Genomic DNA, 24,433 nt, shown 5'->3' on the forward strand with positions numbered 1-24,433 from the left:
CATTTCCTGTTGCCCGGTCTCCAACCAAGTTCCATTTAAGCCTCCACTCCACTGTCTCTCCGAACTGGGTGCCCCTGCTTCTCCCATTGCCTACCTCCAGCTTTCTTCCTGGATTCTGGGCTATGCCACCTCCTTCACACTGTTCCTCCCCTTTCCTAAACTCCCTTCAAAAGTTCCACTACTTCCAGCCTCCTTGGGGTCCCACTTCCTGCCCTCTTCCCCAACCAGAAAAAGACCTGGATAAGTGATTCCTCATGGTTATGGGGTTGGTAAAATAACTGAGATAGCCAGGGAGGAAGAAGGCTGAGCAGACTGGGTCTGGAGTGGTGCCAGTGTAGAACCCCTGAGGGCTTTGAGCAGAGAGCATTCCATGGTGCCAGGGCAGAGCTCTGGATTGAGGAGTGCAGACCAGGAGGCCTTGTGGGCCTGAGGAGGGTGGGTAAGTTTGCTGGGGGTGGAGTGATTTGGGGGCTACATTCCATTCTACTCCAAGCCAGAAAACTTCAGTAGAGCTGGTCCTAGGAACTTGTAAGCTAGGGGAGGTTATTTCCTAGCCTTCCTCCTCCAGCATCCTTCCCTCCTTTTTGCATGCCCCCATTCCTGGCTTTCCCTTCTGGCCTGGTTTATTTATTTAGGGCTTGCTTTATTTATCTTTATCTTTCCCACAGGGTCCAGCACATGGTATGTGCACAGACATGTTGTTTGAATGAATGAAGATTTTCCCACCTGGGTCTGCTGCCTCCTTCATGTTTTACCACCTGGTGTCACTTCAGATTCTGAAACTATCTGTGGCTCATCTACTTAGGGAGGACACTGATGTGGACATTGCAGAATATCAGCTCCAGTTTGATAAGGTGGTGCACAATGATGAGAGAGAGGACTTTGAGGGTTTTCTTCCTAGGTGCTCAAGTAGCTAAAAAATAAATAAATAAAAAAATAGAATACAATAAAAAACAAGCAGTGGTGGGAATTACAGATTAGCTATAGAAGGAAAGATTACCAAATTCCGTTGGGGTGTGGCTGCTAGTGGTCTTTAAAACACTGAAGGCAGGCTTGTCTCAGGTCCCAAGTATATTGCAAATGAGCCAGCACTAAATAAACCTTGAAACCTGATGGCTCCATTCTCTCTCTTGGAATCTATCAATTTTATATACATGATAAGCATATTTATTGATTGATAAAGGCTTAGCAGAGAAGCCTGAAATAGGACTGGCTTCCTTGGCCTCCAAGAGGCAGTTTCCTTCTATCACAAAACATGTTTAAAGCTCTTTAATTTTGAAGGTCCTTGGAGTCTTAAATTGTTCCCCACCTCCCACACACATACACTTTCGGCAATACCCCCAATACCAGAAACCCAGACAATACCTATCCATGTATGACACCTGAGTTATTGACTATATGTGGCAATTGTTTAATTCTAGGTTCACTTTCTCTTGCCGTCCAGTGCTCTTGGAAAACATCTCTATTATCAGTTAACATGTGAGTCTCCAGAAGGCAGACTCATTTCAATCTTAGTTTAAGCAAAATCATGTGGAAAATCCAATTTCCTTTAAAAAGTATATTCCAAGTTAATAAAAATAATTTTTGATTTTTTTTTTGGTTTATCTTTGTCACTTTTTTTTTTTTGAGACAGGATCTCACTCTGTTGTTTGGGCTGGAGTGCAGCGGTGTGATCATGGCTCACTGCAGCCTCTAACTCCTGGGCTTAAGCGATTTCTCTGCCTTAGCCTCCTGAGTAGCTGGGACCACAGATGCATGCCACCATGCCTGGCTAATTTTTTGGAGGGGTATTTTTGTAGCAGTGGGGTCTTGCTATGTTGCCCAGGCTGGTCTTAAACTCCTGGCCTTAAGCAATCCTCCTGCCTTGACCTCTCAAAGTGCTAGGATTACAGGTGTGAGCCACTGTGTCTGGTCTTTTTTCTTTTATGATCACAGAAATCACAAGGCAGATGAGGGAATAGAAAGAACCAGGGAATGAGGATAAGGAATGTACCCTAAAAAGCATGCTGTCGGAGGCTCTTTGTGGTAGATTATGACATAATAAGCAAGAGTGAGGCAGGTGGGTTCTGGTTGGAGAAGTCCTATTGATCTATATGGATAAAAACTCAGGACTTTGAGATATGATACAGCCTTCATTTAACTCAGATGACCTGACATCTTTCCTACAACAAAATAAAACAAATTAACTTTCTAAGGGCGATGGTGGGGGTATGGAGCATCTGCCTAAGGCTATGAGAGGAATTCAGCAGAGCCTTGTAAGAGAGGATAGAGAGACAGCCAACCATTTACAGGGGAGGACAGAATGATACATTTGAAGGCATGAAGGAAGATAACCAGAGAGACAGCTGGAATTTCCTGTGCTACCTGGTGTGTAGCACATTATGGTGGGTGTTGGGAGGAGATACATGGAAGAAGGGGCCATTCACAATGACCATTCACAATGGCTAGTCTAAGAGTAGAGACAGGATATAGTGATAGACGGGACCACTGGGTGGACTTCTACAGTCTATGCTTACAAGAAAATGAAGGGTTTTGGGAAAGAAACAGAACCAAGTTTGGTTAGCAAGCCTTCTTAGAAAAAATGAGTGTGGATCAGGATTCATTGCAGACAAAGGCCATCCTATGTTTCAGTTGCATATTGGAAAGTAAGGTGGACATGCAGATGGATTTCCTTTTACTAATTTCTTGTGAGGACTTTTCTGAGGAGTGCTGGGTTGATACGATGCTGGGTTGAGAAAAGGGGAGTAGAGAATCAAAGGGGAGGAAGGGAGAAAAGTAACTGATTTTTGCTGTTCAATGTATCACATCACTTTTTTTATTTTTTGAGGGGGAGTCTCGCTCTGTTGCCCAGGCTGGAGCACAATGGCATGATCTTGGCTCACTGCAACCTTGGCCTCCTGGGTTCAAGCGATTCTCTTGTCTCAGCCTCCCAAGTAGCTGAGATTACAGGCACCCACCAACACGCCCAGCTAATTTTTATATTTTTCTTAGAGATGGGGTTTCACCATGTTTGGTCAGGCTGGTCTCAAACTCCTGACCTCAGGTGATCCACCCACCTTGGCCTCCCAAAGTGCTGGGATTACAGGCGTGAGCCACCGCACCCAGCCACACATCGCTTTTTAAATCTCTTAATCTTTTTTCTTTTTTTTGTTTTTGAGACGGAGTCTTGCTCCGTCACCCAGGTTGGAGTGCCGGGGCTTGATCTCGGCTCACTGCAACCTCCGCCACCTGGGTTCAAGCGATTCTCCTGCCTCAGCCTCCCGAGTAGCTGGGACTACAGGTATGTGCCACCACACCTGGCTAATTTTTTGTGTTTTTGGTAGAGATAGGGTTTCACAGGGTTAGTCAGGATGGTCTCGATCTCCTGACCTCGTGATCCGCCCACCTCGGCCTCCCAAAGTGCTTGGATTACAGGCTTGAGCCACTGTGCCCAGCCTAAATCTCTAATCTTTTACACCCTCCCTGGCTTTTCCCAGTTCTCGTTGTGATTCTGTTTGGAAAATCTAATTCTGATTCATCCTGGTAGCCCATCTAATTTCTGAAGAGCTCTAGAAGCAGAAGCCCAGGCTTTTCTGATTTGTCAAGTTGATAATCTTTTTTGGTGTGATAGAAATGTTAAGAATTTCCAAAATTGGATTCTGACTAAAACTAAACCTGTGAATGTGTCAAATCTTGAATGAAGAGATCCGGATTTGACTCTGCCATCTCTGAAGTTGTCCCAGAGAGACTCAGAAAAGCCACCTTATTCACAACCATTCCGAAATGACACCAGATAATAGGAAGTATGCGTAGCCTCTGGAGAAGCTTTGGATGTCTGATTATTTACCCAAATCATAGCACAATGGTACTAGTGTAGTGTCTGCATGTAGCTGGGACTGCATAATACGGAGGGAAGAAAGCAAAAATGTTTTGGTCTGCATCTAGATGAATTTTGTCTACATCTGGATAGATTTTGTCTACATCATTTTGGTGTACATTTGGCCTGTAGTGGATTGGTCTACATCAGAATGGGTTTTCTTGGAATTTGGCCTCTGCCCAGCTAGAATGAGGTTTAAGAGTTGCAGTGCTGGGGTGGTAGGGTAGGTAGGTGAATTGGAGGAGGTGGCTGTGTTTCCCCTTGGTCTCCTGAGCAGTTCGGGGGCTGTCATAGTTTTCAAGTTCAATACTTGGTTGAGCTAGTAATATTTATTGCAGAATTATAATTTCTAGCTTAGTGTGTGAACATAAAACAGTTTCTACCCTAAGGAGTTTTTTTTTTAGATAGGGAGACAAAGTATTCTCTCAAGTATCATTCAGACAGAATTCAGGACACAGAAAGTTCACAGGTGTGGGAGGATGCCTGATAAGCAGTCAGTTTTGTGGGGTCATTCTCAGAAGACTCCTGGGAGATAAGCTTGGATATTTATTTTCTTTAGTCTGAGCTAGATTTGGTTACCATAGCTTTCTTTCCAACCTTTTAGGGAAGCCATCTCAGCTTTACTTCTCTTTCCCTACGGAGAAGTAACACATTCATTGGTACTGAAATTGTTTCTTTCTATTTTCCTTTTCAGCACAGACCAAGACTGAGAATTATTATTATTATATTTTGGTATTTAGATTTGTATTAGAATCTGTAGTAAACATTTAACTGGATAAGTGCAGTTAAGCGAACTGGATTTACTGGTTCAAAGCATATGTAGAGTTTATTTATTTATTTATTTTTGTTTTTGATGGGAGGCATGGAAGGAAGGCCTAAGTGAGGTTTGATTTATTGGCTCATAGCAAAGCTTCTCACCACCATGAAGATGTAGACTGAACTGATGTTTCCCAGGGAAACCAAATCCCCATATGGAGCAATTACCCCCTCTTCCACGAAGGTTTCTCAGACTGACCTGAGGTGCAGGGAAGATACTCCCTAATCTTGCCAACACTGGAAAATGAAGCCCTTCCCACTCATATCTTCTGTCAACTATGATGTCATCTGGGATCTTGGCATGCCCTTGCCTCTGATATAAACACTTTTCTGTGTATTTCTGATTGAGGATTATACGTTTCAGTCCATGGTTTACATATCTTTTACTTATTTTGAGGAGTGGGGAAGTAGCCACAAAATCTCTTAAATGTAAGCTCCCAAAGAGGGGAATTCTTTATTTGCCACCATTTGTCTTGCATTGTGTGTGAGTGTGTGGTGATTTGGTGGTCGTTGTGGTGGTAATAATTTAGGGAAAAAAGACATTGCTTTTGCTCGAATTCCTTTGCAAAAGGAATCATTTTGGTGCTTGAATTTTCTAATTTGGAATTTGTCTTTGTATTCACTTACACTTAGTTGAAATCTGATTTTCAGTAGTTTGAATCCAGCCTTTGTCACTTAGAAACTTTCAGTGGTATTCACTTGAGGGAAACATCAAACCATATAGAGGTCATCCAATTTCTCACTGTAGACCCAATCCAAACTAAACAGAATGCATCTGTGAACTTATTTATAGACAGTACAGGACAAATGGTAGTAAACAGAGAAAATTCTCTTTCCTAGGAGCTTACAATATAAAAGTACTTCATGGACACTTCCCCATCCTCCCAAAACAAATGAAAGTCCTATTCTAAACAATATTCAACCATTTGATCATTGGAGCACCCCTCCTTTCTGCAGTCTAAGCTGAGATTTCTTTATTGCAGTTTGAGTATCACACCAGGTTGCCTAAAGCCAAAGTATTAGGTGACTTATTTTCACAATTAACTAAAGCAATGAAAGTAATAAAACTGTATTGTTTGTCAATTTGGTCATTGGACTTCAAGGGGATGACACTGGAGCCAATAGTGTCACAGATAACGTCCTTAGTCCCAGCCAGTTTGGGTTACTTCCTTTGCATTTTCACTTTGTGGTGTGGAAGAGACTTGGACCTGCATTCTTGTTTCATTATCTCTGTTGTCACCACATTGGGCTGTAGATCATGGGGTGCTTCCTTGGCTGTGGCCAGTTAACTCTATACCTCAGGCTTCAGCTGGGGAAGAAGAGGCAAGCTGAAAGTGTCATCAGGCAAGAGCTGTGCTACTTCGCTGCACCTAACCATCTACCACTGCTACCCTCTTCTCTAACCAGGCGTCTTCCCAGTGCAAAGTTCTAGGCCAGTGAGTTATGCCATTCTGTCCTAAAACCTCCTGTGCAAGAGACCCATATTCACTGCCAACCAATCCAAAGGAACGGGGAGCAGAGGAGGTCAGTCTGATGGAGAAGGCTGGACACATAATCAAGGCACAGACACTGGCAGTGCAGCAAGGAAACAAGTTAGGAGCAAATGGACAGAACTCTGGACAGTAATGAGGGGACGAGAGCAGGCAAAGAGGGCATAGCAGAGAGGTCAGATATCTGTAGGTGTGGTTAGATATGCTTCCTGAAGGAGAGTCTTGTTGAACAGTTTGGAAAAAGGGTGTTCTAGGCAGAGAGGGACTGTCCATGTGATGGTTGAGGTGATGATAGCAAGATGTTCGTATATGGGGAAAGATTGGTCCTGTTCAAGCAAAGAGCCACAGAAAAGGTTAATAATAAGAGTAACGGTTAGGGGAACAATGAAAAGAAAGATCTGGAAATACAATCTTAAAAGTTTGGATTTAACAGAGAGCAGAAAACTGCAGGTCTGGTAGGGAGAAGGTGTAGGGTGTGTGTGTGTGTGTGTGTGTGTGTGTGTGTGTGTGTTGCTTTCAATCCTTGAAGAACGTGTCATTTTCCAGAAGGAGGGTAGAGGGCACTCACACTTCAGTTATCTGCTGCAATGCAGCAATCATGGTGAATGTGATTTAGGGCTGTAGCCTGCTTTAAAGAAGGGCAGCACTCGGCCGGGCGTGGTGGCTCACGCCTGTAATCCCAGCACTTTGGGAGGCCGAGGCGGGTGGATCATGAGGTCAGAAGATCGAGACCATCCTGGCTAACAAGGTGAAACCCCGTCTCTACTAAAAATACAAAAAATTAGCCGGGCGCGGTGGCGGGCGCCTGTAGTCCCAGCTACTCGGGAGGCTGAGGCAGGAGAATGGCGTGAACCCGGGAAGCAGAGCTTGCAGTGAGCCGAGATTGCGCCACTGCAGTCCGCAGTCCGGCCTGGGCGACAGAGCGAGACTCCGTCTCAAAAAAAAAAAAAAAAAAAAAAAGAAGGGCAGCACTCTCTGATGGTTGCTGGGGTGAATCTGAGTGAGATCTGTGAGGATCTCATTGTTTAGAGTTACCAACGTTAAAGGCCAGGAGGGTGGATCAGGGAGTATAGCAGGAGGCTGGGATGCAGTCTTTGCCAACTGTAGGAATCTACTAGATAGAGTTCTGGTGGGAAAAATGGCATGTCAGCTAGGTTGAATTCAGGCCTTGGAAAATATATATCTGAAACCAGTGATTTCAGCTGAGATTCCTTAGGTTTAATCCAAATTTTCATGCAACGCCCCCGAATAAAATAAGGATGCTTTGAGGCTGCTTTGCCAATCCCCTTGTCTTTGGCCATATCTGGGGCTTTCTTCCCTTGGAAACTGAAATGGAAAAGTAATTTATCTTCTTCATGGATTTTCCTATACTGATAGCATGTTGAGAAAACTCATTATTTCTTATCTCAAGTTCATATTCTTTAATAACCTTAAAAAAGAACGAGGCAATCTAAAAATAGAAAGGCTAAGAGATCAGTGTTGATGCCGGATATCCATTGGTCTTTATGATTATTTCCATGAATGATTAATAAATATTAGAAATGCTCTAGTTGTCATGAGCTCAGAGCTAGACATGGACATGGGGCACACTAATACCTGTTTTTGATATTCTGCTAAGTAAGGCCTCTGGCTGTCAAGAACAACCAAACCAGACCGAGCAACCTCACGTAGCTCAAGTCCTTCTCCCCAGTATCACCATGAATTGTTAGCTCTGGAATGGGGTTAATCATATTTTAGAATGACTGACAAGCTGACATTTTTCTGGTACTGGGTTCTCCTGAGTTAAGGATCAGGGATTGCCATTCTCTGGCAAGCATCCCCCCACAGTCTGCTTCTGATTGGCAGCCAAGTCTGGGGAGCAAATGGCCAAGTGAATTAGAAAGCTTAAAAGATGTTTTGTTAAACCATCCTCATTAAACTGGCACCGTCTGCCTTCCTACTCTCCTTTGTCCCAGTTGGGGCTGTTCTTCGTGACAGATGTTTCCTAACGGTGTGTGCTGGTAGCATCTGGAATCCTTAGGTGACTGCTGAGGTTTGGGAAGGCCAAATCTGGAGGTATGTAGATTGTCAGGGAAATTGCAACCATTTTCCTGCCATTGGGCTACCATAAAAAAAAAATACCCGCTTCCCTTCCCACCACCCCATTTTCCTTTGGCCAGTGAAAATCAAGCTTTCATTTCCTTCTCTAGCACTTCCTAACCTGCACTGAAGATGGTTTTTTTCCTCTCAAGAATGAGGTAGTGAGTAGACAAGATTTGGAATATGATGAAAGAACAGTGTGATGGAAGAAGTCTCAGAGGGGTTACTTATGTTTGGCATCTAGAGATCTTTTATCCTGTATTTTCCACTAAAAATCAAGCAAAAGCCAATGGGTTAAAGTTGTGGGAGTAGGAATTATAATTAGATGTAAAATTGTGTCTATGAACTATTGGAATAGTTACAGGGATGCTTTGGAATCTCCTTTCTTGGCATCTAAAAAGATTGTCTGGAGAATTTTGGCACCTGATTGGATTAGAATTTTAGCAGGAAATGGTTAAGATGGAACTTTCAGATTTAATGATTTCTCTGCTTCCAGCTCTGGCCTATCAGTGTCTATGTGGGAGGAAAGAGAAGACATTGGCAGGGGATGACCTGGGCATAAGGGTAAGAACTGGTTCAAATCCTCTTTTAATAGCCATGCCCTTAGACTCCTTGTTCTTTGTGGAGACTGGGTGCCACAGTAGGAAGAACATGGGCTTTGACTTCATGAAGAACCATGTTCAAATTCTAACTCTTCTTTTTACTGGCTATATGATCTTGAAAAAGTTATTTAACCTCTCTTCATCTTCAAGATCAAAGAATAATACTTCTGTCATGGAGTAAATAGGGGTTAAATGAAATAGCATATGAACCTTGCTTGCAGCTCAACACATTCTGGTTCCTTTCACCCCTCTTTCCACGTAACTCTAATTCTTGCACATAATTCTATCCCTGGCATGCCATTTGACAGATATTTTGCTCTGTCTCCAGCCTCTGCACATCTTCCCCAATGCTTCTTAGCATTCAAGCCTAGAGCTCTGATTTATTAATTTGTGTTAGTCCCACAAAATGGCAATAACAGTATGTACTTTTTATAACCATACTAACATGAGTCAAGGTTGTGGTTTCATTCCAGGCATTTTTACTTGCTGACAATTTTGGTTGTAAATCAGAGACAAAGGAGTTCTATCTTCCCACCCACCTCTCTGATCTAGAGTTCTTGATTCAGGGCTAGATCATCTGGATAGGATTTCCTTCCAATAAAAAAATGATGGCAAGTTTGTTTATAAGATTATTCAGAGAAGAAAAATCCATAACCTTTACTGTTGGAATATTCTTGTTTTCCTCCCAACCTTTTAATTTGAAAAATATTAACCTACAGAAAAGTTGTAAAATAGTGTAATTAATACCCATTCATTTTTCACCAAGATTGACAAATTGCTAATATTTTGCCACATTTGTGTGCTCTCCCCTTCTCTCTCATATATATATATGTGTGTATATATACACACATATGTAAAGCAGTGCCTATTCAAATTTTGCTAATTGTCCACTGATTTTTTTTTGAGACAGGGTGTCACTCTATTGCCCAGGCTGGAGTGCAAGTGGCATGATCACAGCTCACTGCAGCCTCTACCTCCTGGGCTCTGGTGAACCTCCTGCCTCAGCCTCCCAAGCAACTGGGACTACTGGCACATGCCACCATGCCAGACTAATTTTTTTTTTTTTTTTATAGAGGCAGGGTTTCACCATCTTGCCTAGGCTGGTCTCAGACTCCTGGGCTCAAGTGATCTGCCCTCCTTGGCCTCACAAAGTGCTAGGATTACAGGTGTGAGCCACTGCGCTAGCTGAATAATTTGTTTTATAGTGAAATGTTTCTCCCTAGCCCTGATCCAATTGAAGTTTATGCACTGTATTTTGTTATCATGCCTCTTTATTCTCCTTTAATCTGGAATCATTCCTTAGCCTGTTGTTCATAGCATTCACAGTTTTGAAGAGTACTGGTCAGTTGTTTTGTAGAAAGTCACTGGGTCTAAATTTGACGGATTATTTTCATCATTAGATTCAGATTAGGCGTTTCTGGCACTTTTGGATTAGATAAGAACATTTTTAAAGACAGTGCCACGTAGACAGGGAACATGTCTTTCCCCTGCCTGTTGTGTTCTTAGCACCAAGCACAGCGACTGGCATATAGTAGGTGCTTAATACTTATTGAATGAATGAATGAATGACCTAAAACTTTCACTGCCATGTAGGTCCATTATTTTTCTACCTGAAGAGAGAGAGAAGAGCAGCCTTCTCCTAAATCCTAGTTTCATTTTTATTATAAATCTTTGGGCTGAAAAGGGTAACCCAAGACTTCTTTAATGAGACCACCGAGAAGGGAATATGAGGGAGGGACTATGGCCTGAGGGAAGCCACGGAGTTTCTGTTTACCCAGGGCGAGTGGTGGTGGTGTTCATACTGTGTAGAGACAGGGGGATGAACAAGGTGGTCCTCAGATGGAAGGAAAAATAACACACAGAATCCTAGAGTACCTGGCCTGTTTGCTTACTGAGAAAAATTAGTCATTTAGGTTCCCAGATTTGACCATACTTCCCTCTCCTAGCCCCCATTTGAATCCTAAGAATGCCACAGTGAAAATTGATTTCTGGCCCTCCTCCTCTCCCAGAGGGGACAACTCCATAATTCTCTCTTTCTCCACTTTCCACCCCCCTGCCCTCACCACACACAAGTGTGTATTTTCTAGCATTTATAAACGGTGGTTGGGAGGCCATTCTCTCCAGATTATTTATTGTTGAGAAAATCTATAACTCCTTGGACTTCTCATTTTGATGTAGAAGCTTTCATCCCTGTTGCCTGGGGGAAGTGAGGTTATGAGAGGTACTCTCTGCCTCTCAAAAATGTGTTTTCAGGCTTCCCTTTGGGGCCCTTTCTCTCCCTAGCTCTGATCATCTCAGACATTTCTGACAATCCTTGCTGAGGCATCCAGGGCTTGGGACTGAATTCATCTATTTAATTTTGCAAGGCTGGTGAGTGCCTGATTCACATTGCTCCTGCCCCTTTTCTGAGAATCTACCTGCCTTTGTCTTTGCAGTCCTTAATTTCACCAGTTTCTGGGAAAAAGTATCCTTCATCTCCATATCGGCTCTTGGTTACCAAGAAAAATGGAGGAGATAATCCAAAATAGTGAATGAGACGAAGATTATTATTTTTTTTAAGTGATTGAATCCTGGCTAAAGATAATCCATGAAGTGAACAATCTGGATGAAAGTAATCCATCATGTTACTCTTCCATGGGTGGGTATATGGCATCTGGAGAGGGAGGCTGGTGGGAGAGGGCCTCAGCTTGTTTAGCTCTCACTTTTTTGTCAGAACCATGAGATGTCTGTGGAGAACTCTGCAGAACCCATTTCTATGCTGTATTTTTAAACTCTGGAGGAGGCCTGTTCCATAGTTTGAGAACCAAATACTTAGTTCAAAGAACATGACAATCAGTAGCCAATATGCAAAACTGCCACTTCATCTAGGGTTTCCATGATACCCAGTGTGAAAGTCAAAGTCCTCACAGTGACTCTATGGCCCGCCATGAATGATCCGGCCTCCTGATTTCTCTCTGACCTCATCCCCGACTACTTCTTCCTATCTCACTCTGTGCCAGCCCAAGATGGTCAGGTGCCATTCCACACCCATCAGGATGGCTATTATTAAAAAAACAGAAAATAGCAAGTGTTGGCGAGAATGTGGAGAAATTGGAACCTTTGTGTACTGCTGGTTGGCAAGTAAAATGGTGCAGCCACCGTGGAAAACAGTAAATTGGTGATTCCTAAAAAAGTAAACTTAGAATTACCATATGACCCAGAAATTCCACCTCTGGGAATATATCCAAAAGAAATGAAAGCAGGGACTCAAATTGATATATGTACACCCACGTTCATAGTAACATTATTCAGAATAGCCAAAAGGGAGAGGCAACCCAAGCATCTATTGATAGATAGACAAACAAACAGATAAACAAAATGTGGTATATACATAGAGAGAAATATTAGTCACTCTAAAAAAGGAAGAAAATTCTAATACACGCTACAACACGGATACTCTTGAAGACGTTATGCTAAATAAAATAAGCCAGACACAAGCAGACAAATATTGTATGATTCTATTTATATGAGGTACCCAGAATAGTCAAATTCATACAGACAGAAAGTAAAGTGGTGGTTTCTAAGGAATGGGAGCAGGAGGGAATGGGAATTTAATGTTTAATGGGCACAGAGTTTTAGTTGGGTAAGATGGCAAAGGTTTGGAGGTGGATGGTGACGATGATTGACCCTCATGTGAATGTATTTAATGCTGCATTTATTTATTTATGAGACGCAGTCTCACTCTGTTGCCCAGGCTGGAGTGCAGTGGCACGATCTTGCCTCACTGCAACCTCCGCCTCCTGGGTTCAAGCAATTCTTCTGCCTCAGCCTCCCAAGTAGCCGGGACTACAGGTGCCTGCCACCACGCCCAGCTAATTTTTGTATTTTTAGTAAAGATGGGGTTTTACCATGTTGGCCAGGATGGTCTCAATCTCTTGACCTTGTGATCCACTTGCCTTGGCCTCCCAAAGTGCTGGGATTACAAGCGTGAGTCACTGCGCCCTGCCTTATATACTTTTATTTTTACTTTTTTAGAGACAAGGTCTTGCTCTGTCACCAGGCTGGAGTGCAGTGGCATGATCACAGCTCACTGCAGACTTGACCTCCCAAGGCTCAGGTTATTCTCCCACTTCAGCCTCCTGAGTAGCTGGGATTACAGGCGCTTGCCACCACATCTGGCTAATTTTTCTATTTTTTGTAGAGATGAGGTTTTGCCATGTTTGCTGGTCTCAAACTCCTGGTCTCAGAAGATCTGCCCGCCTTGGCCTCCCAAAGTGCTGGGATTACAGGTGTGAGCCACCATGCCTGGCCTAATGCCACATTTAAAAACAGTTAAAATGGTAAATTTTATGTTATGTACATTTTACCACTATAAACAATGGCCAGAGTCTTTATATTTGCACTTCTCAGAGATCTGCACCATTGCTTTTTCCTGCACCTGCTCCTGGCTGCTGGTGAAGTGTCATCTCAGCAAGGCCTTCTTGGACCACTTGTTTTAAAATCTCAACTCCCATCCTGATCACATCCTAACCTTTACTTGCTTTACTTTACAGCACAAACCACAATCTAACACAATATATATTCTGTTTTTTTTTTTTTTTTTGAGATGGAGTCTTGCTCTGTCACCCAGGCTGGAGTGCAGTGGCATGATCTCGGCTCACCGCAAGCTCTGCCTCCTGGGTTCACGCCATTCTCCTACCTCAGCCTCCCGAGTAGCTGGGATTACAGGTGCCCGCCACCACACCTGGCTAATTTTTTTGTATTTTTAGTAGAGACAGGGTTTCACCGTGTTAGCCAGGATGGTCTCGATCTCCTGACCTCGTGATCCACCCGCCTCAGCCTCCCAAAGTGCTGGGATTACAGGCGTGAGCCACTGCGCCCGGCCTAACACAATATGTATTCTTACTACTTGTTGTTGTTTGCTTCTTCTTGCTGGAATGTAAGTGACTTGAGTGGAGGGATTTTTTTGTGTGTGTGTTTTAATTGCTGTATCCCCAGTGCTGAATAGTTGAGGACCGGTAAATATTTGTTGAATGAATGAATAAGGGACCATGACTAGACATAGACTTCTAGAGAAGGCACACACAGAAAGAGAATATGAGAAGATTCTGTTTTTTGTTTGGCCTTAACTAATTTCTTCTAGACCTTGGATATATAACTCAGACCCTGTGTTCATGATGGCTTTTATACAGTTTACCTTTTCTTACGTGTTTTGAACTGTTTGCATTTAGAGCTGTTGGTGCACTGCGTACGCCATGGTTATTATTATTTAAAGCGGTCACCTTGAACACAAAGCCTCTACTCTTGTATTTCTGATTGCCTCCAACCATAATTGCAGAGGTACTTGAGTCAGGGCTTTGGAAACTCTGGGAAAGCTTAGATATCCAGAAACCTTTACTTTTTTTTCTTTTTCTTTTTTTTTTTGAGACATTGGTTTGACTGGCTCCAGAGTTTTCATTCTCTGGAAATTTTAAGGAAGAGCAAACTTATATAATTTGGGATCAGGAAAGGAGTTGTATTTACAAGCAAAGAGATTGATATAATCTCTAGGAGATGTTGCATTTTAAAGTCCACTTCTTGGAAGCTTTGAGACCTGAAATAATTATGTAGCAGCTCCATTGCTTTCCTCTCGTGAACGTTTATCAAGTTTCTAGGAGAGCACTTTGTGTCCACACTCTATTTGAAGTTGTTCAGCAGGAGCCATGAGGCCAAACTTCCGGATTGGCAAGATTGTTAGCACCCCAGCACGGGAACCAGTGGAACTTACTTCCTTGGAAAAATGTTTTGAAAAGGAAAGGTCCTGAGTGAGGGTAGTGCCCTTCTTAGAGACAGAGGAATGAACACAATGACCTTCAGGATGAAGGAGAGTGGGTGGGGTTGGCTGGGAAAACAAGACAGCCTTCAATGTAGTGGGCGGATTGTTGGATTCGACATGAGTTCTTCTTGGCTACTTGGGATGGAACTTTTGTTTTGGAGTTTGGAAAGAGCTCAGAGAATGAGAGAAACACAGGGAGTAGAAGGGAGGGAAGGAGGGAGCCAGGGGCATGATGGAATTCATACAAGCTGGCTTCATGTTCTCTGGCCTTTCTCTGTATTTCTTTAAGCACCTCCCCTGGGCCAAGCACCTCCTTTGGGAGAGACTGTTTCCTAATTAAACTGAGATCCACAGGCCCAGGGCCCTTATTAGGAAATATCCTTAGGAAATGCTCTTTAAATAGAAGATTGTGCGTATTCTAGTCTCCTGTTCCCACCTCTGTCTGGCCCTTTCTCTCTTTCAAAAAAAAAAATTCCTATTTCTAGGCATCCCAAGACATAGTTGTTAATCAATACAGCTATGTGTTTATTTTCTCTGTCCTAAGTGTCTCTTTTGGTTGCTCGGTACAATTGAGTAGATCCTTGTCCTGCGTAGCAAGGGTCGGTGGTGGGAGCATGGAATTCGGAAGGAACAGGTACATAGATCATGGCCCTGCCCTCTGGAGGCTTTTAGATATAAAGGAATTTAAGGGACATACCCAGGACACCATCAGACAGAAAGGGAAAACTAATTTCGGCTGAGCATCAGGGTTAGCTGTCAGTGCTGATGAAATGGGAAGGAAGGTTGGAGATAGGGAAATCAGTCAGGATGGCATAGGGAAGGCTTCTAGAAGTGGGGGAAAGATTGTAGAATAGGATTGAGAAGAGCTAGAGGGCCAAGACCAGATAGAAAGGAGTGAGGAGGGCACCTCTTGGCCACACCAGTAATTGATGCAGGCCAAACTTGCTGCATGCAGGGTAAGTCACAATGTGAGGAGCTGAGTTAGGAGTGGGGTAATAGGCTTGAGGGTAGAGGTGGGCATGATTAGGAAGGGGCTCTGACAGCTGGTTTGAAGAACCCAGACTGAATATAAACCATTAGAATAATTGCAGATTATTGCACAGGGAAAGATATTTCTGAGAATTGCATTCAAGGAAGATGTTTCTCTTTATTGTTAGACACTGGGCTGCAGTTAGGCTTTCTCAGGAGTCCCAATCATCTGTTTGCTTTTTCTTCTGTCAGTCTGGTTGTTTGTTTGTTTGTTTGTTCTGCATGCTTCTGTTTGAGTCATGGGTTTTGACTCAAACCCATGTAAGGCCCCTTTTCGGTTCCTTCTATTTTTCCCTTTCACCCCTCACCTCTATTTCTCATTTCCTTTCCTTGTGGGAGCCATCTGCTTTCATGTATTTAGTTAGTGCTCTTCCAATCCAAACTCTATATGTTTATTTAGAGACATTCAGCCATTCACCAAATATAAAGTGCCTGCTATGTGTTGAACAGAGTTGCAGGTGCTGAGAAGTTGTAGGTGCACAGTTGTAGGTGTTCACAGCAGTGAACAAAACAATCAAAACCTGCATTTGTGTTGCTTACGTTCTAGTGGGGTGAGAGGATTGTGAACAAATAAATGAGTGGATACGTTAAATAGTGATAAGTGCTATGCAAACAAAAAATCAGGGTAGGGGATAAGTTGTATTGTGGGTGGTCAGGAGCAGATTGCCGCTTTCTTCAGGGTGATGTAAGAAAGCTTCACTGAAACGTGTGGTGCATCAAATGCACATTAAAGACCAGCCATATGGACATCTAGGGTAGGAGTGGTTCAGGTGTGGGTGGACAGCAAGTACAAAGGCCCTGAGGCAGGTCTTGCCTGGTATGTTAGGAGGCCAGAAGGGTCAGTATAGGCCAATGCCCAGAGCAAAATGAGTGAGAAAAGAGAGAGAAACAGAAGGCTGGGAGGTAGCTGGGTCAGTGGCAAATCATGCAAGACTTTGTGGACCACTGTAAGCTCAGATCTTGGCTTATACTCTGAATAAGGAGGGAAACCAGGGGAAGGTTTTGAGCAGAGGAATTACATGATCTGATTTACATTTTAAAATAGATCTATCTGTATCCTTAAAAAATATAGTGTTATTTTGACCGCTTTTTAATGTACATAAATGACATTGTGCTATATGCTTTATCCTGCTTTTACTTTTTCCACTTAACATTGTTTCTGAGCTTTATCTATGTTGCTGTATGGAAATCAACTTCATTATTTCTGACCGCTATGCTCATACAGTAGATTTTATTACATATTCACCTAGTAATAGACATTTGGGTTGCCTCCAACTTTTTACTACCACAAACAGTGCTGTGATAAATATCCTTATCTCAGCCTCTTTATGAACCCAGAGAGTTTTCCTGCGGTGTATACCTAGCAGTGGGATTGCTGGGTTAGAGAGCGTGTGCACATTTAATTCCATGAAGACTGTACCAGGATGGTGGCCCTCACCAGCAGTGTGTGATAGTTTGTATCTTCTCATTTATTTCTCATATTGATCCTGTAAGGCAAATATTATCATTTCCATTTTATGGATAAGAGAACTGAGGCTTAGAGAGATTAAGCAAGTTATCAAAATTTATACAGTTAAGCAGAAGAGCTATGGCTCCACTCCAGAAAATTACTCAATATTCTTTGCTCTTACTACTGTAGTACCCAGTACTGCCTCTTCCAGAAATAACGTGAAGCAAATTGTTCATGCTGTGTTCCTCTTTTAATCATTTCTTCCTTTTAGGGCTGGCTGGACAGAAGACAGTATTCTTGAGGTCCAAAGAGCCACTAAAGGGAATCTGTGGCCTCCCTCTCAATCTGTGTCCATTTTAGGAATTGGGGTGTTGAAGGAAACTTGTGTACAATCCCAACAGAGCGGTAGGGAAGCAGGGCAGCGTGGCATAGGAGTTCACTTGAGTTTTGGCATCAGACAGTCTTTGTTCAAATCCTGGCACAACCATTTGTTCTCTGTGTGACTTTGCACGAGTTCTTGGCTTATCTAAATCTCAGTTTTCTAACGTACACAATGAAGACAACAATAGGACTTGTCTCTTAGAGTTGTTGTGAGGAAGCACAGGTAAAATACTCAATGTAGTGCCCATAGTAAATGTTCAATAAATGTCAGTTATTATTTTTGCTATAATATTTGAGCCTTGCCCTTTTCTTTCTTTCTTTTTTTTTTTTTTTGGGATGGAGTCTCACTGTCACCCAGGCTGGAGCGCAATGGCGTGATCTTGGCTCACTGAAACCTCTGCCTCCCAGGTTCAAGTGATTCTCCTGCCTTAGTCTCCCGAGAAGCTGGGATTACAGCTGTCTGCCACCATGCCCGGCTAATTTTTTGTATTTTTAGTAGAGATTGGGCTTCGCCATGTTGCCCAGGCTGGTCTCGAACTCCTGACCTTAGGTGATCCATCTGCCTTGGCCTCCCGAAGTGCTGGAATTACAGGCATGAGCCACTGTGCCTGGCTGAGCCTTGGCCTTTTCAATGCCTGCTCTAACTCAGTAAGACTAGGACCCTCCAAAGTGTTTACCAGTAGCAGGCCCAAGGGTATCTGATTAGAGTTCTCAGAGATTCAAGGTAAATTATACAGAATAAAACAGTCTTTATTTTCTCATGAGGGCCAGCCAACAAGCTTAAGTTTCAGTGGGTGATTTTGAGGCTAGACATTTAAAAAGATGAATTCATTTTCAAAGTTGGAGGACTTTGGATCAAATTTTAATATTAAGTATTAGGTAGATTGTATTAAGTACATATTGTTTTGCTAAGTACTGAGCTAAGTACTTTTCAAGCATTACTGCATTTGATCTTCCTAACAACCCTATGAAGTTTATTTACTCCCATTTTTCAGTTGTGGAAACTAAAGCACATAGAGGGTAAATAATTTGTCCAGAGACAAAATTAGCTGGGCATGGTGGCGAGTGCCTTTAATCCTAGCTACTTGGGAGGCTGAGGCAAGAGAATCACTTGAATCCTGGAGGCTGAGGTTGCAGTGAGCTGCGATCGCGCCACTGCACTCCAGTCTGGGTGACAGAGCAAGACTCCGTCTCAAAACAAAACATAAATAAATAAATAAATAAATAAATAAATAAATAAATAAAATAAGGATAAGAATCTGTCCAAAATCATGTAGCTGTGAAATGGTTGAGCTGAGATTTGACCCCAGCAGTCTATCTACAGAGCTCTTACTCTTAACTAGTAAACTACGCTGCCTTCCTGTGAAGGAAAGTTTTAGAGTCTCGTCCCTTTTAAATCTAGGACAGGTTCTTGTCATTTGGGATGGTTTAGAGCAGTCACAAGAAGTAAGGGGCTAGTTGTAAAATAATCTCCAGAGGGTAAGGATATGAAGTTTGAAAATATTCCCCAGGTATCTTAATTATGGCCCCTCGAGTGACAACCTCTGGCTTAGGGGATGTCCTACGGAGAGCTGAGCATGATGCCTTCAGATAAGTAGGGACCTGCTAACTGAGGGTTAGAAGGTTCCCTGCAATCCAAGGCAGGCTGATATTTCTAAAACAAGCATCCACAATGGCAAACAATTCTTTATCGCCTACATGTGGCTTATACATGCCATGAATTATCTGCGGTCAAGGTTTTATCACAGTTGGTTTTCCCTTCACGCTTTTCATTTTGATTGCCTTCTACAAGGAATGTAATACCATTTATATATTTACCTGAGTCAGATTTATAAAGGTTGCTTGGCTACAAAGTATGTATCTCAAAGTCAAGCAGATAGGAATTTTGGATTATCTGCTCTTTCAGGTTTTCTCTTCTCTGTTTGTACATTTGTTCAACAAATATTTATTAGCTCCTAACTCAGAGTCTAGTGGAGGAGACAGGCAGCTGAACTGGAATCTTGATAATTTATGCCAAGTGGGGCAAGCACAGATGCTATGAGAGGATATAGGAAGGGCACCTAATCCAGAGAAAAAGCCAGGGGAGGCTTCCCAGGGAAGCAATTTCTAAACTGGGAATTGAAAAATAAGTAGGAATCCGCTGAGTGAAAGGGCCGAGCGGGGATTAGAGGCAGGGGAGCAGGGTGAGTGGAACTGCATGGCAGGAGCACGACCTGGGAAGATGATGGTACTAGAGGAATAAGCAGAGTGAAATTATGAAGAAATTGGGAAGGGCTAGGCTAAGGACTTTAGACTTTATCCTGAGGGCAGAAGGGAACCACGGAAGGGTTTTAAGTGGGGGAACAACTCAATCAGATTTATAGTTTAGAAAGAGTCCATGAGTTAAAAATTGACTGTGTATCTACCCCACTTACTTGCAAGGAAATCATAATATTGGGACTGGTAATATTACGGCAAATAAAGGAGTCTAGATGGATTTGTAGAGAGATGATTTGATCCAATAACCCAAGAGTCCCTTTGGATAATCTGTAGAGAAGAGTTTTCAATTTTGACTTGATCTTTCTGTTTTTATAAACCTGTTAACATCTCCTGAAATTCCTGAAGTTCTCTCAAAACCAAAGCCTGAGTAGGGAGGAAAGTGTGAGCCTTGTGTCTTGGTTTTCTCTGTTCCCCACTACTCATTTCCGGGGCATTGCTGTGAATAGTTCATCCAAGCCCTGCGCCCCATGAGGAAGGGACCATTTGAATAGCAGCAGGAGAGGAGGGGAAGGAGGAACCACACGCCAGGCTCGTTCATTAAGAAAATATATTTGGCATATTCAGACAATGGTTTGAGCAAGTTAAAAATAACTCCTCGTGAAAAATTAATAGGGAGTTATAAGTGAGTGTTTTAATACAAGCTCCCAGAGCAGGGCAGATTCTCCAGGCAGCTGGCAGCTGACATCACAGATGGTGCAGGGTGTTTATAGAGCATGGTGTGGCCAGTGAGTAGAGTCATCTGCAGAAGTGAGCTCACCTTCTCTCCCAGAACCCTGGGGAGAGAGGAGACAGTAGGAATTGTTTTTAGTTATGAGTTACTGAGCCAGGTGACTTATTTCTTCTCTCCCTACCCATCACACTCTCCTAACTGTGGACATAAACATTGTAGTGAATTTTGCCTTGTTGCTTTGGGTAAGGTTTATTGAATGTCAGAATTCATAAAAGTCTTTTCTGGCCCTTCTCCTTTCTTAGTAATAGACCCTTAGTTGGCTGCAGGATCCATTTCTGCAGTGTTTCCTTACCCAAGGACCAGCTCCTCTCTCTCTCTTGCAGATAGTTATAAAGTCTCTGCCCCATTCTCCCTCTTCCTCTCTTTTCACAGTGCCCCTCTGATTCTAGGGAAGTAAAACGAAGAATTGGACTCTACATTCTTTGCCATCAGAACAGCTAAGTTGATAAAGCAGAATGAGGAGAAAGGAGGCTAGCTGCATTTTGGGGCTAAGGGTTTTAAGACTGGGGAGACCAATATTTGTATTTTAAACCCAGATGATATTTAAAAAATGGTTCTGTAATTGCAATGAGGCCCTCTAGGCCGTGAATTAATGTGTCATAACTCACGCCCAAGCACTGCGCAAACATTCTGCGTGTGAATTATTGCACAATAAATTCATGCCCTGTTGTGTCTTACAGCTTAATTAGTACATGAAGCTACATGAGTTAGACGAACCCAAATGGGATTATGTCATGTGGTGCGTAAAAAAGCAAAATGTTGGGAGGTATTTGGAGCTTTTTCTGGGGGGAAAGCAGGGTTGATTTTTCTATGATGTCCTTCAGTGTCAGTTTCTGTGATGTTTGGGCTGCAACAGGTGACATGTTCCCTGACATGTGACTTCTGAGCTTTGGTTGGCTGGTTAAATAATGGATTTAGTAAATATTTATTGTATATCATGTTCTAGGCATTATGAAACGATAGCACATGTAATGAAGTATGGCCCCTGCCCTTAAGGAGCTTATATTCTAATACAAAAAGTAAGGTATAGCCGCAATACAAAGTAGAAAGTGATAAGTGCCATAAGTAACATATGAGTAAATAAAGGGTCTTGGGAATTCAGAGTGGAGGATGATCCTTTTGGGTTGGCACAGTGGTGAGGGTTGATTGGTGAAATCAGAGACATTTTTTGGAGGAATGGCATTTGAGTTGGCTCTCTTAAAGGACAGATAGGATTTCACCACCTGGGCAGGTTTGGCGGGGGGTGCTGGTCTGGGCAGTGGATTCTAGGCAGAGGGAGTAATGCTAGGGAAAGCACAGGAAAGTGAAGCAGTGTCCTGAGCACACCGAGCGGGCTGTGTTGCTTGAGGCTTGGCTGTGTGAAGGGGCAAAATGGACAGGCGGATTGGAGCCAGAGCTTTCCTGTGCATACAAAGCACTTGGGCTTTAAGCCCACTAACCCCTGGGATTGGTTCTTCTACTGGGTGATATCTGTACTCTTGGACTTGAATTTTTCTCTACTATTGTCTTCTTTGGTCTACCTGCTCAGAGAGTACACAGCTGAGGGCCAGGTGTCCTGGGTTCTAGTCTTGTCTCTGCTGCTAAATAGCAACATGACCTTGAGCAAGCCACCCAAATCCTTCAGTGCTTTGCTTCTTTATCTTTAACATGAGAGGTAAGAATGGATGATTTCTAAGCTTCCATATAGTTAAAACATTCTAGGATTTCCTCTAGCTCTTCTGCTCTCTTACCCCCTCAACTAGGTCTCTCTGCTGCAAGTAGTCTGAACCCGCATCCTGCCAGCTCTTCGCTTAAACCCACTTTTGGAGTTGGTGAGAGTCAGCAGGCTGGCTTTGGAAACAAAATCAACAGGGAAAACCCAATTTCTCCCCTCCTATGTTCAGTACCATTGATTAATCAAGACCTAGGAGACATACGGGTATTTAAACCATCAGCTTTAAATCTGCAGCTGTGTTGGCTTGCTAATACCGCACCACCAAATTAGACAGACTTACTCTGCTGAACGCCCATCTGCCTCCTACTACAGGGCTAGAGGCTGCTTTTATTAGAATTTTGCCGTGTATGAACAGGTTGGAATGCATGTGTACTGTGGGCAGGCTGGCTCTGAAAACAAAAGCAACAACAACAACAACAACAAGAACAAAAACAAAAAATCAAGCTGGGCGCTGTGGCTTACATCTGTAATCCCAACACTTTGGGAGGCTGAGGCAGGTGGATCACTTGAGGTCAGGAGTTTGAGAAGAGCCTGGCTAACATGGTAAAACCCCATCTTTACTAAAAATACAAAAATTAACTGGGCATAGTGGCGAGTGCCTGTAATCCCAGAGACTTGGGAGGCTGAGGCAGGGGAATTGCTTGAACCCCAGATGCAGAGGTTGCAGTGAGCTGAGATTGCACCACTGCACTCCAGCCTGGGAGACAGAGGCAGACCCCATCTCAAAAAAAAAAAAAAATTGGAAGGGTATCGGGCTGGGTACACTCAGTGCCATCTCTTCAACTCATTAATCAAAGAAAGTGAGAGAGTGGAGACAGGCTAGGGATATCACCCTGATCAGTGGTTCTCAACCTTCAGGATGTGTCAACACTACCTGGAGGACTGGTTAAAACACAGATAGCTGAGCCCCACCACCAGTGTTTCAAATTCAGTAGGCCTAGGTGGTGGTGGCGGTGGGGGGATGTGCCCAGAATTTGCATTTTTTTCTTCTTATTGTTATTTTTTGAGATGGAGTTTTGCTCTTTTTGCCCAGGCTGGAGTGCAATGGTGTAATCTCGGCTCACTGCAACCTCTGCCTCCTGGGTTCAAGCTATTTTCCTGCCTCAGCCTCCTGAGTTGCTGAGATTACACGTGCCCGCCACCATGCCAAGCTAATTTTTGTAATTTTTTGTAGAGACGGGATTTCGCCATGTTGGCCAGGCTGGTCTTGAACTCCTGACCTCAGGTGATCCACCTGCCTCGGCCTCCCAAAGTGCTGGGATTACAGACGTGAGCCAACGTGCCTGGCCCAGAATTTGCATTTCTAACAAGTTCCCAAGTGATGCTAATGCTGTTGGTCCAGGGACCACACTTTGAAAACCAAAACTCCAGCTGAAGCCTCTCCACATATAAAGATGAAGCGAGGGAAACGAAGACTCCCTTCTAACACTCGCCTTCATTTAATAGTACACCTAGATTAAAATAGCAGTTTTCTGTGTGTCTTTATTTTCTTTCTTTTTCCCCTAGATTGTAGCTCGTAGGTAAGGAGCATCTCTTGTTCACTCCTGCACAGCACCCACTAGATGCCAGGCATGTAATGTGCATTTAATAAATAGCTGTTTAATTGAATTGAGCCTTATACATTTCCTTGCTACAAAAGATTCTCCTTCTTTTCAGACTAGTACTATCTCCTTTAAAACTATCTTCTAGGACACTTCTTTGTCAAACAGCCTTTCTCCCCATTCTTCTAGCATCTAGAACTGTACCCAGCTCCTGCTTCTAATTTTGCCTTTGTTTGGCTCTGCCTGAGTCCTGGTCACTATCCTGTCTATTCCATTGTACTGGAATCTTATTCAGGGCAAGCACTAGGTTCTCTCCTTCCTTTAGACCTCCTCCCCCAACAGTGAGAGCAGTGTTGTTCATTCAAAGAGCAACAAGGGATCCCACAACCTGGGGCAGGAGAATGCTTGTAACAACCTCCCTTGGTCCCTCTCCATCTATTCCCAAGGAATTTGGGGAGGAGCAGGAAGTGGTGAAGTTGATAGAAGGCCCAACCCACTCTACCTGGCTCCATGGAATCCCTGAAGACTAGACTGGCTCCAGCGTGGGCACAACAGGCATCTTTCCTGAAGCAGTCAGAGATTTATGCTTTGGTATGGAAGAAGGGTCAGTGTTTTCCTTCTGTATTTATACACAGGGCCCGTCCTGGAAAGGAGGACTGGAAAGCTACTCTCTTACTTGTGGGATTTCTGAA

The 24,433-nt window shown here is 43.2% G+C and overlaps 1 long non-coding RNA gene across 10 annotated transcripts in view; it reads left to right on the forward strand.

Annotated features, from left to right (window-relative positions):
- Positions 1-24,433, forward strand: part of LOC105378250 (uncharacterized) — a 158,791-nt gene that overhangs the window by 21,566 nt on the left and 112,792 nt on the right. For 3 of the 10 annotated variants that reach the window (NR_189104.1, NR_189105.1, NR_189106.1), the window contains exon 2: positions 669-1,113. The exons of 6 other annotated variants lie outside the window; for them this stretch is intronic. This is a non-coding gene — a long non-coding RNA (uncharacterized LOC105378250). Of the gene's footprint in view, positions 1-668; positions 1,114-8,737; positions 8,806-24,433 lie in introns of those variants that run through there. One more of the 10 variants, NR_189103.1, reaches the window with a different exon arrangement.

The sequence above is a fragment of the Homo sapiens genome, chromosome 12 (assembly GCF_000001405.40).
Source record: "Homo sapiens chromosome 12, GRCh38.p14 Primary Assembly".
Taxonomy (NCBI): Eukaryota; Metazoa; Chordata; class Mammalia; order Primates; family Hominidae; genus Homo; species Homo sapiens.